We start from the raw sequence: 13845 nt of genomic DNA on the forward strand, positions 1-13845 counted from the left end.
ATCGCGCCACTGCACTCCAGCCTGGGTGACAGAGAAGGCTCTGTCTCAAAAAAAAAAAAAAAAAAAAAAAAAAAAAAAAGAATAACATCCATACATCACATCTAGATTCAATAACTGTTATTATTTTACCGTATTTTCTTCATCTATATTCACATGTAATTTTTCCCAAACTATTTGAAAGGATGATGTAGACAAAATGACATTTCAGCCTTTCACAGTTCAACCTGCATCTCCTAAGAACAATCCTGCATTCTCTTAAATAACCACAATGCTATTATCACACCCAAAAACACTAACAAAAATCTTCCCAAATCATCTAAAATTCAGTCTAATTCCATATTCAAGCTTCCCCAATTTTTCAAAAAAATATATTTAAAGCTGTTTTTTAAAACCAAGATTTAATAGTCTCTTTCAATTATAGAAAGTCTTCCCACCTTTTATTTTCACGATGCCAACTTTTTAAGGAGATCAGATAAGCCCTTTTGTATCTAGCTCCACACTGTAGATTAACCTGATTGTGAAATCTATGATATTGGATATACTATGCTCATTATGAAGGCATGGGAGTGATTTTCTAACAAATTTAAAATTATAAAACACTTATCAAGAGAATAGGGTATATTTTATCTCCATATTTATTCACAATTACCTAAGGAAGGAAGAAAATTGTCAAAAGCATTAAGCCCTTAAAATTAAATACAGTCCAAGAGAATAATGTTAATTACTTTGCTTTTTTTTTGAGACAGAGTCTCACTCTGTCACCCAGGCTGGAGTGCAGTGGCATGATCTTGGCTCATTGCAACCTCTGCCTCCTGAGTTCAAGTCATTCTCCTGCCTCAGCCTTCCGAGTAGCTGGGATTACAGGCACCCACCACCACACCTGGCTAATTTTTGTATTTTTAGTAGAGACAGGGTTTCACCATGTTAGCCAGGCTGGTTTCAAACTCCTGACCTCAGGTGACCCACCCACCTCAGCCTCCCAAAGTGCTTGGATTACAAGCGTGAGCCACCATACCTGGCCTGATTAATTTTCCATAGCTATAAAAAATATTAGTATAAGAAATGAAAAAAAGTATCAGGTTGATCATTCCAATGACTTTCAGATTACTGATAAGGATTCCAAGTCATATAGTGGATATTTACCAGCAAATGGATTCCGCAGTATCTTGGCTGATGTTGCCAATACTTTTCTTACTGCTTTGTGAAGTTCTTTTCTTGCCTGCCAGGCAATACCTAAAATGATTATAAAATTAAGTAAAACCAAGAATGTATTTTTTTTTTCTTTTGAGATGGAATCTTACTCTGTCGCCCAGGTTGGAGTGCAGTGGCACAATCTCGGCTCACTGCAAGCTCTGCCTCCCGGGTTCACCCCATTCTCCTGCTTCACAGCCTCCCGAGTAGCTGGGACTACAGGCCCTCGCCACCACGCCTGGCTAATTTTTTTGTATTTTTAGTAGAGACAGGGTTTCACCTTGTTAGCCAGGATGGTCTTGATCTCCTGACCTCATGATCCGCCCTCCTCGGCCTCCCAAAGTGCTGGGATTACAGGCGTGAGCCATCACACCCGGCCCAAGAATGTATTCTTAACACTATGCTCCAACGTTTCAAAGAGATATGTATAAACTCCATATTTTTTCACAAAGAAAATACAAAATAACACTGTTGTCTTTTTATTGTCACTATCGATGCAACTAAAACCATTATGGAAACACAGAGCTCTCAATTCCAAAATAAGATTGCTCTCCAAGTCAGGGAAAAGTAAAAACAAAAACACTAACTACAAAAATACTAACTAAAGCTAATGAAAATCCTCATATACAACATAGGTTTTGCAATATCCAGGAAAATGTCCCTCATGATGAGCTCGCCTCAAACTGAAGTTTGGAGATACTTTATTAAAGAGATTAAGTCTCAATATACAGGTATATTATAAGCAACAACAATCATCTATGTAACTGAAATTGTAAACATACCATAAAAGCATGTTGAAATACACAAAATGATATAATAACAAATAGCAACAGGGCAGCAAGGTGACAGACACAGGCGAGCAGCAGAGCCTGCCTCACTTGAGGAACATCATGTTAACTGGCACATTCTAGCTAACAGTGTATGAACAGGCAGCTGTGAGTCAAGTATGTGACTCACCATGCTATCCATATGTTGAGGAAAATATACTCCTCTGCTCTAAAAGTTCACGTTCCCATGCAACCATATGATCGCTAATGAGGGCTTCCATGTGTCCTAAATATTGAGAAGTGGAGTGTCCTAACTAGTAAAGACAGGTTTTCTAGCCTTGGTGACAGATAATTATAATAAATGAGTTGGCATTCATATTTATGAATATATCTCATGAGTTTGGTTTGCATGAATACATCCCTTAAAGTAGAAATATCACTGAGCTAAATTACAAAATCATGTTTTTTGTACTTGCCAAACTGAGAGCCAGCCTCTGTATTGACAGCCCCACTAAGATGTGGAATTCCAGGTTCAGACTAAAAATGCCAGTTAGTCTTCACTTAATTTTAGGAGAGTTGCAAACCTGGATTAAATACGGAAGCCTAAACTTTGGTCCTCAATTAATTCTTCAGGAACTTGGTTTTCACGGGGTTTGGTGATTCTTAGAATTAGCTCAATCTGTATTACTAATACTGTGTTTTAAATAGACGCATTTTTAAATGCAATAACTAGCTTCCATTTTTCACAGAGGATTACTTTACAATAAACTTACCATGATTTTCTCCTTTGTCTAAAGAAACTGTGTGCACATATATATATGACTTCATTTTTTCTCGTTCTACCACTTGAGTATCTAATGTCACAGCCTTCTTCAGGGCCAGAACTTCATATGTAAGAAATAAAGAACCTCTTAAAGAGAAAAGAAAAAATGCATCATAAATAGACAATCAAAATGTAACACAAGAGCTACTCTTCTCTATTAAGCTTGTCATAGTAAACTTCTTTTTTGTTGGGAAACATAACATGTATACAGTAATATGCATATAACATTTATACAGTCATGTATCACATACTGACTTTTTGTTCAAGGACAGACCTCATATACGATAGTGGTCTCATAAGATTATAATGGAGCTAAAAAATTCCTGTCTCCTAGTGACTGAGTAGCCATCGTAACACATTACTCACGTTTGTGGTGATGCTGTGTAAACAAATCTACTGTGCTGCCCGTCCTATAAAAGTCTAGCTCATACAATTACGTATAGTACATAATACTTGATAATAATAAATGTTACTGATTTATGTATTCACTATAGTATACTTTTATTGCTATTTCAGAGTGTACTCCTTCTACCTACCTGTAAAATGCCTAGGGCAGGTCCATCAGGAGGCATCCAGAAGAAAGTGTTGTTATCACAGGAGATGACAGCTCCATGCATGTCACTGCCCCTGAAGACCTCACAGTGGGACAAGATGCGGAGGTGGAGACAGTGATATGGATGATCCTGACCCTGTGTAGGCCTAGGCTAATGGGTTTGTGTTTCATTTTTAACAAAAACATTTAAAAAGTTAAAAAAAAAAATTTTGCTGGCACAGTAGCAAGGCACGTAGTCTCAGCTATTCGGGAGGCTAAAGCAGAAGGATCCCTTGAGCCCAGGAGTTCAAGCCTGCGGCATGCTATGACTGTACCCACGAGTAGCCGCTGCTCTCCAGCCTGGGCGACAGAGCAAGACCTCGTCTCAAAAAGATTTTTTTTTTTGAGGTGGAGTCTCACTCTGTCACCCAGGTTGAAGTGCAGTGGCACAATCTCGGCTCACCGCAAGCTCTACCTCCTGGGTTCACGCCATTCTCTCACCTCAGCCTCCCAAGTAGCTGGGACTACAGGCGCCTGCCACCACGCCCGGGTAATTTTGTTTTTGTATTTTTAGTAGAGATGGGGTTTCGCCATGTTAGCCAGGATGGTCTCAATCTCCTGACCTTGTGATCCACCCACCTCGGCCTCCCAAAGTGCTGGGATTACAGGCGTGAGCTGCCGCGCCCGGCCTCGAAAATATTTTTTAACAGACAAAAGTTTATAGAATAAAGACATAAAGAAAGAAAATATTTTTGTATAGCTATACAACGTGTTTGTGTTTTAAGCTAAGTGTAATTACAAAAGTCAAAAAGTTTTTCAAAAATTTAAGTTCATAAGTTAAAAAAAAAAAATACAGTAAGCTGAGGTTAATTATTAAAGCCAGGACTTTATTTATATTTAGAGACAGGGTCTCAACCACGTTGCCCAGGCTGGCCTCAAACTTCTGGGGTCATGTCATCCTCCTGCCTCAGCCTCCCGAATAGCTGAGACTACAGGCCCACACCACTACATCCAGCTAGGTTAATTATTGAAGAAAAAAATATTGTTTTATAAATATAGTGTAGCTGGGTGCAGTGGTGCATGCCTGTAGTACCAGCTAGTTAGAAGGCTGAGGCAGGAGGATCACTTGCATCCAGGAGTTCAAGGCCAGCCTAGGCAAAACACAGTGAGACTCTGCCTTTAAAGAAAACACAAAGTTCAGCCAGGCACAGTGGCTCACACCTGTAATCTCAACACTCTGGGAGGCCGAGGCGGGCGGATCACCCGAGGTCAGGAATTCAAGACCGGCCTGGCCAACATGGCAAAACCAAGGCTCTACTAAAAATACAAAACTTAGCCAGGCATGGTGGCGGGCGCCTGTAATCCCAGCTACTCAGGAGGCTGAGACAGGAGAATTGCTTGAACCGAGGAGGCAGAGGTTGTAGTGAGACGAGATCATGCCACTACACTCCAGCCAGGGCGACGGAGCAAGACTCCATCTCCGAAAAAAAAAAAAGTGTAATGTAGCCTAAGTACACAGTGTTGATAAAGTCTATAGTAGTGTGCAGTAATGTCCTAGGCCCTCACTCTCACTCACCCAGAGCAACTCCAGGTCCTGTAAGCTCCACTCATGGTAAGTGCCCTATATAAGTGTACCATTTTAAAATTTTATTTACTGTACCTTTTTTTGTTTGGATACGTTTAGGTACACAAATACTTCCCATTGTGTTATAATAGCCTACCGTGTTCAGCACAGTCACATGGCTGCACAGGTTTGGAGCCTAGGAGCAACAGGCTGTCCCATACAGCCTAGGTGTGGAGTAGGCTCTGCCACCCAGGTCTGTGCAAGTGCACTCTGTGATGATTGCACAACAATGAAATCACCTAACAACACATTACTCAGAATGTATCGCCATTATTGACACATGACTGTATATATACATATACATGTATATACACATTTCGGCTTACAAATAATAAATAGCTGCATAATCATATCCAGGCAAGAAACAGAATGTTAACAGAACCCCAGAAACCCACAATGTGTCCCTCCCGGATAATGATCTGTTCTCATCTCTATATATGATTCTGATTTTTATTATAACAATGTGCTTTTCTTTACAGTTTTACCACCTATATATGCATCCTTAAACAACAGAGCTTAGTTTTGCCTGTTTTTGAAATTCATATCAATGGAATCACACTACATGTATTCTTTTGCTCAGCCTTGTATTTGTGAGTTATCCATGTTGTTGCATGTAAAATGTAGTTCCCGCACTTAGATTTTCGTATAGTATGCAATTATCCATTGCATGGATATACTACAACTTACTTATTCACTCTCCCATAGATGGGTATTGAGAACGTTTCTAGTTTGAGTCTGTTACAACAATGCTGTGACATATCTTATACATCTGTACTGTGCATACAGTACGTGTTCCTCTATCTACACGTACAGGTATCTAGAATTACATACCTTCTGATAGTATACATATTCAATTTTACTAGAGAATGACAAACCGTTTTTGCAAAAAGATTAGCCAATGTGTACTCCCATCATCAGCATATGAAAGCTTTTCCTTTCCTAAGAGCAACACCTGAAGTTAACTTTAAATGTTGTTTGTTGTGAATCTCAAAATGAAGATTTCTTTTTTCCTAATCAGATTGACTTACACACTCCCTAAATCCTGACACAAAGATTGCACTCTGGATTCAGAGCTTAGCACCTTCTTCTGACCTTTGGTTTCTACCCTCAGGCAAGCAGGTAAAACAAAGTCCAGATACTAGCTAGCACCAGAGGAACACAAAGAAGCCTCTTTAGAATCCTCTGCCCTCGGCCAAGGGCAGTGGCTCAGGCCTGTAATCCCAGCACTTTGGAAGGCCAAGACGGGCAGATCACCTGAGCTCAGGAGTTCAAGACTAGCCTGGGCAACATGGCAAGACCCCGTCTCTACTAAAAATACAAATACAAATAATAATAATAATAACAATAATAATAACAGCCAGGTGTGGTGGTACACACCTGTGATCCAGCTATTTGGGAGGCTGAGGTGGGAGGATCACCTGAACCCAGGGGGCAGAGGCTGCACTGAGTGGAGATCACGCTACTGCACTCTAGCCTGGGTGACAGAGGAAAACTCTGTCTCAAAAAAAAAAAAAAAAAAAAAGAATCCTCTGCTCTCTTCGGGATGTATCTGAACAGCCAACAAAAGGGGTAAATGTATTCAGTACTTTTATCCTGTTTTCCATGAAAGACAAAATTCTTTACTATAATAAAAAACTGTAATTAATGTTCACTATATTCCTGAATATAATTGTGAGCTAGACAAACTGCATTACAGAAAAGGTTCCATATACATTTATGCTTTGCCCAGAATGAGTCAAAGGGAAAAATTATCTAAATATATTTTGCCTTACATTACAATGTCATGGAGAAATGTATGCATTTGGATAAAATGCCAAATATATCTCTTTTATCATTTCGGCATCTGAGAGTTAATTTTATATTTGTACTAGTAAAAAGTATTAACAAATACAGTACGATAGTATTACATATATATTCCTCCCCCTAAAAAAAAGTAAAAGAGTATGAAAAATAACAATTTGCTGAAAGAGGGTCACTGCATTCATTACACATGCTCCTGAGGGAGCATCAGATAGGAGACGTCCATCTGTTGGTTTTCTCAGTCAGCCTCAATTTCCTTTCATGCGAGCTTTATGGTGAGTTAAGGGATTTTCCAAAATACTTTTGACCATAGTCAATTTGTACCTTTTTCACCCACTTTAGAACCTAATACCAGATGTGACCCTAAGTGTGTCAGAGCTGAGTGAGTGCCCGATTTAACTGTGTCAGAGCTGAGTGAGTGCCCGATTTAAGCGTGCCGGAGCTGAGTGAGTGCCTGATTTAAGTGTGCCGGAGCTGAGTGAGTGCCTGATTTAAGTGCGCCGGAGCTGAGTGAGTGCCCAATTTAAGCCTGCCGGAGCTGAGTGAGTGCCTGATTTAAGTGTGTCAGAGCTAAGTGAGTGCCTGATTTAAGTGTGTCAAAGTGCTTTCCTCACAGCAGCAGTGCCTGGCAGGCAGAGTTCCTAGTACACATTTGGCTCCAAGAGAAAGCACTCCTCAGAAAGTAAGGAAACCACATCATGACAACATTTAAGTGGTGGGATCAGTGATTAAATCCACCAGTCTAATTCCAAAATCTATACCCTTTCAAGACCTCATGCAACCTGTCAATCACTGCCATTGAGATTTCCAATAGAGTATAATGAAGCCAATTAATATTCCACAGTTGACGACTTACCCTAAAATAAGTGATCCAGTAAACTTTATTATATTTCCTTCAAAAGAAAAAAAGTCAATGTGATGAATTTCATTTTTAAAAGTGTGAAAGGAAATAGGCAACAGTGTAAGTCTCTACCTATATCATATATTATCAGATAAGAAGTTATTATTTTTCTATTAATATAATCAGTTGCTATTAATAAATGGTCTCCTATCCTTAGACACAAACACACAAATCAACAAGTACTAAGTGCAAATATAATGTATATTGATGACATTTCATACCTCCCCTTTCTCCACCTCCTAGTCCCTGTTCCACTACTGATGCTAGTAGGACTACAATGCTTCCACCAAATGCAACATGCAGGCAGCTCACTTCCCTTCTGACCCCTTTTAGTTAACAACCCATTAAAGAAAGAAATGGGAAGCATTGTCCCTATCACTACTAGGACTATACTGAAGGATTATATTGTCAAGTGGGGACATAAAAGAATGTTTTCTAAAGTAATTATGTTATAATTGATGGTTAGGTACATACGTACGTAGCCCCATTTAAAATAGAGATTAGGCCGGGTGCGGTGGCTCACGCCTGTAGTTCCAACACTTTGGGAGGCCAAGGCGAGTGGATCACCTGAGGTCAGGAGTTCGAGACCAGCCTGGCCAACATGGTGAAATCCCATCTCTACTAAATATTAAAAAAAAAATTATCCAGGCATGGTGGCGCATGCCTGTAATCCCAGCTGCTCGGGAGGCTAAGGCAGGAGAATCGCTTGAACCACGGAGGCAGAGGTTGCAGTGAGCCGAGATTGTGCCACTGCACTCCAGCCTGGTCGACAGAGCAAGACTCCATCTTAAAATAAATAAATAAAATAAAATACAGATTATATTCTACAAGTTTATTTATAAATGTTTGTTTGGGTCTTGGAAAACTTTTTTAATATTAAAAAATTCCTATGGCAGACACTGATAATTGCCTGTCCAATACACATGCCCTTTAATCCTTACAAATACACAACCTGATTACCACCCAAAAATATTCAAATTCCTAGACAACTCTGTAGCTAGGGCTAACAGTGTAACACAGTTGTAGCCAATCGGATATAGATGGAAGTCTATAGAGATGGATCCCTCCCCACATAAAAAGACAAAGCCTCAAAATGGCTTTTGGCCCTCTGCTTCTTGATGCCCAAGGATTCAGCAAGCATCTTGTGACCATGAGGACAATAAAGAGAATGGAACAGGAAGACAAGAAGATTGCTAAACTGTAATTCCTGCCCTAAACTGTCTCCACCTTGGCTTATTATTATGTAAGAAGAATGAAAATCATATTAACTTAAGCCACTGGACTCAAGCTTCTGTTACATGCACTGAGCACAACCTTAACTGATGGTACTCATGATTAGGTACTGAGGCTAGCCCACAAAAATCTTTATATATATATAAATATATTATTTTTATATATAAATATATTTTATATATAATAAATATATTATATATGTTTAAATGTATAATATATTTATATAATATATTAATATATTATATAAATATATTTTATATATAATAAATATTAATATATTTATATAGATATTAATATATTTATATAGATATTAATATATTTATATAAATATTAATATATTTATATAGATATTAATATATTTATATAAATATTAATATATTTATATATAATAAATACATATAAACTATATATATATATATGTATAGACAGAGTTTCATTCTGTTGCCCAGGCTGGAGTGCAATGACACAATCTCAGCTCACTGCAATCTCCACCTCCTGGGTTGAAGCGATCCTCCTGCCTCAGCTTCCTGAGGAGCTAGGATTACAGGCGCCCACCACCACACCCAGCTAATTTTTGTATTTTTAGTAGTGACAGGGTTTCACCATGTTGACCAGGCTGGTCTTGAACTCCTGACTTCAAGTGATCCACCCACCTCAGCCTCCCAAAGTGCTGGGATTACAGGCATGAGTCACCGCACCCAGCCTTAACCTATAATTTATTGCACGTATTGAGACAGTCCTTTGTTCAGAGCTTCAACTCATGCTGCCAAAATGACATTTGTCCTCACTTCTCTTTTTGTATTTAAAACACAGTATCAGAATTTTCTAGATGAAAATGATCTATCCCTAAAAACAGATTTCTCTTAAAGATCAAAAAGAAACTCCATGAGGAAAAGGACTTTGTTTTATTCAATATTGTATTCTTAGGGCCTAGAATTGTACCTGGCACACAGTAGATGGTCAATTAAATATTTTGTTTATTGTCAAATGAATAAAAGATGTTCTACGCCAATCTTCTCATTTTACACATAAAGGAAATAATGCTCAGAAAAGGTAAGTTATTTTATTCTTCCATTCAACAAACACTATTTGATCACCTACTACATGCCATGCATGATAAATAACTAGGTTATAGTGGTAAACAAGATAAAATACTGCCTTCACAGAGTTTACAGCATATGGGGAAAGACAGATAATTAAGTTCTATACTGACCCTATGAAATGACAAGTAACAGATCCAACCGGGCCTAGGGTGTCAGAGAAAGCTTCCTAAACGAAGGCAAGGCTCCAAATGGAGTAGACTGGAGCCATATCCCGAGCCCCCGTAAGGCAAAGACAACATCTTCCTTGCTCACCAGTGTATTCCCAGAACCTAATATGGGTGTTGTTTTGCAAGAGCTTAATAAATATCTGCTGAATGAAAATGCAGTTATATTTAAGTTTAGGATGATGAGTATGAAATTTGACAGAAGAAGTAGAAGAGGGAAAATAATTCTCAAGAAAAAGGAGTATGTATGGCTCTGGGCCTATAAATTTGGGGTGAACTATTAGTACAGAAAGACATAAACAAATTTGAGATTTAATCATGGGTTCAAAAAGTTTTTGTGGCCCATCTTAGAAATGGCCACAATTCTATCACTGTTCCTATAAGAAAATAAGAGTTGTTTAAGCTGTACTCACTGATATCTCTCCAGTGTGTGCCACTTTTTGGTGGGGAAGTAGAGGTTCCTATTCTTCTGCAACAGATGACGCAATAAGCAGCCAGGGACATTCTGTGTAAGTAGAACAATTACAACAAATTTAATTTAGCATCTAAATCAAAACACTTGTTTTAACTACAAGAACATGTTACCATCACAGTGGATGACCCACAGAGTTAGCTTTTTCAAGACTACGAAGAAAACTTTCCAATTAAAAAAAAAATTCTCCATTAAAAACTTAAAAGGGACTTATTAGAATAATATTTTGTTAGAATTTTCATTATTCTTCCTCACACTGTGTCCAATTGTGCATAGTTTTCACAATTGGAAAGATGATCTAAATATGATACAATCATTCCCAGAACACAAGAATTAAACGGTAACAAGAATAGACAGACTATTAATCAGAATACCAATATAGGCATGAAAAAAATTTAATGTCTTTGAAAATATATGTATATATGTATTTATCTCTGATGACTGAAGTCCCCACAGAAATGAGAAGCTCTATGTGGACGGTACACTTAGAATCCATAGAAGCATTTAGCTTTTCTCTAGTTCTTTCAGGATAGTACCCACGTTGTTTAAAATTTTTGAAATTTGTTCATTGTTGGCATTCTATCAAAGGAGAGCTGTCATCCACCTAATTCATCAACTGAGTAAAGATGATCATATGCTGCAATCATTCCCAGAACACAACTCAGTATTCTAGACCCATATCAGGTTGTCTTTGGATAGTGAGGTTTTTTTTTCTTTTTCCTTTTGCTATAAGGGAAAGGAAGGAAGGTACCTTGAAGGTACCTCTCTCTTTTGTTTTGTTTTCTATTTCTGCTTTTTATTATTTTCTTCTTTCTTTCTTTGGGTGCATCCTGTCCTTTTCCTAACTTCTTCAATAATGCCTAAGATGAGCATTTCTTGTTCTTTCACAAATGCATTTAACACTAGAAATTATTATAATCCCAGCACATTGGGAGGCTGAGGTGGGCAGATCACGTGAGCTCAGGAGTTCAAGACCAGCCTGGCCAACATAGTGAAACCCTGACTCTACCAAAAAGAATTAGCCAGGTGTGGTGGTGCACTCCTGTAGTCCCAGCTACTCGGGAGGCTGAGGTGGGAGAATTGCTTGAACCTGGGACGCTGAGGTTGCAGTGAGCTGAGATTGCGCCACTGTACTCCAGCCTGTCGTCTCCAGCAAGAGTGAGACCCGGTTTCAAAAAAAAAAAAAAAAGACTATAAATTATCCCTCTAAAATTCCACTGTAATTTTTCTCTAATCTGTGAGCTGTTTAAGAGTGTAGCTTTTAGTTTCCAAATATATAAAACTTTTTAAGATTATCTTTTTTTTTTTTTTGAAACAGGGTATGGCTCTGTCACCCAGGCTGGAGTGCAATGGTGCAATCACCACCCACTGCAACCTCTGCCTCTCAGGCTCAAGCAATCCTCCCACCTCAGCCTACCGAGCAGCTGGGACTACAGGTGCCCACCACCACACTCAACTAATTTTTTGTATTTTTTGTAGAGACAGGGTTTCACCATATTACCCAGGCTGGTCTTGAACTCCTGACCTCAAGTGATCCACCCGCCTCGGCCTCCCGAAGTGCTGGGATTACAGGCAAAGATTATCTTATTCTGCTATGTGACATAGATTATTTAAAATTGTGAAGACTTGCTTTGTTACCTGATTCCAGTCAATATTTATAAATATATCATACAAGCTTATTCTTTGTTGCGAGCAGAATATATCCATTATACTAGGCTTGTTAATTTTGTTGTTTCTATAGTCCTGCTAATTTATTTTTCACAGCTCCAAACGGCCATTGAACAGCCTTCCTAATTTTGTCTGCATGATCTACCAGTACGAGAGGGGTTTTTTAAAAGTTTCATACTGATTTGCGCACTTGTCGATTTACCCCTTTTGTTGTCCTTTTTTTTTTTATTCATTAAGCAAATACTTATCTGAGTCCCTAGGAACGAAGAACTGTTCTAGATGCTAGCAATTTAACAATGAAAAAGAAAAATCTGCCCTTGCTTTCATGGATCTGACTCTCTAGTGCAAAACACCCCAATCTGTGGCAAACAAATACTACCCTTTTTGGGGGGTCATAATGTGAAAAGATATGCCATCAGGTGCACACAAATGAATGATTATTAGAAACTTAGTACTTTTTTCCTTTTGTCATCACATACTATCTTCCTTTATCCCTATTAACATTTATTGCTTTAAGTTCCTTGCCAGTTTTCTAAGTATTTAACTATCTTACCTTTTCCCATCATGGTTATAATCTTTTGGTATCATTTATAATTTCAAAACCTCTCTTTGAATAGATGAATTTAATCCATTTACATTTATCGCATGTTGGATAGATCAGGATTTTTTTATTACTCTTTAATTGGCTTAAAGTTATACAATTTATTTCTATTCCTTTAGTAAACAGCCACATTTTAAATGTGCTATATAGTATGAATTTAAACAATATAATTATCCTCCCAAATGAGAATATTAGAATGCTTTAAATACGATCCTCTCCTATCTTGTCTAGTATTTTAATTCCATTTTATTTTTAAACATCCCAAAAGAAGTCATTTTTAAAAGCAGTCAACCTAAATATTTACCAACATTTTGTCAGTTTCCTTCCTTACTTTTGTTTCTTGCATCCACAACTTCCTCCTAGGTTCAAATCATTCTTGATGAAGGTATATCCTTTGATAGTTCCTTCATGAAGGCATATATGTAGTTAGCACTCTCACTCTCAGCATGTCTAAAAATGCTCTATTTTAGATATACTAAAAAATAGTTGTGTTTGGGCCAGGCGTGGTGACTCATGCCTGCAATCCCAGCACTTGGAGGCCAAGGTGGGCAGACTGCTTGAGCCCAGGAGCTCTAGGCCAGCCCAGGAGTTCAAGACCAGTGAGACTTCATCTCTCCAAAAAAATTTAAAAAATTAGCTGGGCCTGTTGGCATGTGCCTGTATTCCCAGCTACTCGGGAGGCTGAGGCAGAGGAATTGCTTGAGCCTGGGAGACAGAGGTTTCAGTGAGCCATGATCACGCACTACACTTTAGCCTGGGAGACAGAGTAAGACTCTGTCTCAGAAAAAAAAAAAAAAATAGTAATAGCTGGGTTTGGAATTCTGGGTTTAGAATTTAGAATAACAGTAGGTTTCCTTTGGTACATTAATGGTATTTTCACTGATATTTCTTGTTGCTCAGGAGAAATCTAAGTCTAACTGTTGTTTCTTTGTAGGCAAAATAATAGCAAAGAAGTTTAAGAATGTG

The 13845-nt window shown here is 38.3% G+C and overlaps 1 protein-coding gene across 7 annotated transcripts in view; it reads right to left on the reverse strand.

Moving 5' to 3' along the window:
* The window catches only part of SERAC1 (serine active site containing 1), a 58744-nt gene that overhangs the window by 38203 nt on the left and 6696 nt on the right, over nucleotides 1-13845 (reverse strand). For 2 of the 7 annotated variants that reach the window (NR_073096.2, NM_032861.4), the window contains exons 2-5: nucleotides 10552-10643; nucleotides 7594-7630; nucleotides 2732-2868; nucleotides 1144-1233 (exon numbers count right to left, since the gene is read on the reverse strand). Coding sequence is in view for 5 of the 7 variants with exons in the window: in NM_032861.4 (NP_116250.3) it covers nucleotides 1144-1233; nucleotides 2732-2868; nucleotides 7594-7630; nucleotides 10552-10642 (355 nt within the window). In the remaining 2 variants the exon portion in view is untranslated. Of the gene's footprint in view, nucleotides 1-1143; nucleotides 1234-2731; nucleotides 2869-3317; nucleotides 3514-7593; nucleotides 7631-10551; nucleotides 10644-13210; nucleotides 13411-13845 lie in introns of those variants that run through there. The other 5 variants (XR_007059349.1, XM_024446573.2, XM_047419421.1 and 2 more) reach the window with 5 other exon arrangements.

Source organism: Homo sapiens, chromosome 6, assembly GCF_000001405.40.
Source record: "Homo sapiens chromosome 6, GRCh38.p14 Primary Assembly".
Classification (NCBI taxonomy): Eukaryota; Metazoa; Chordata; class Mammalia; order Primates; family Hominidae; genus Homo; species Homo sapiens.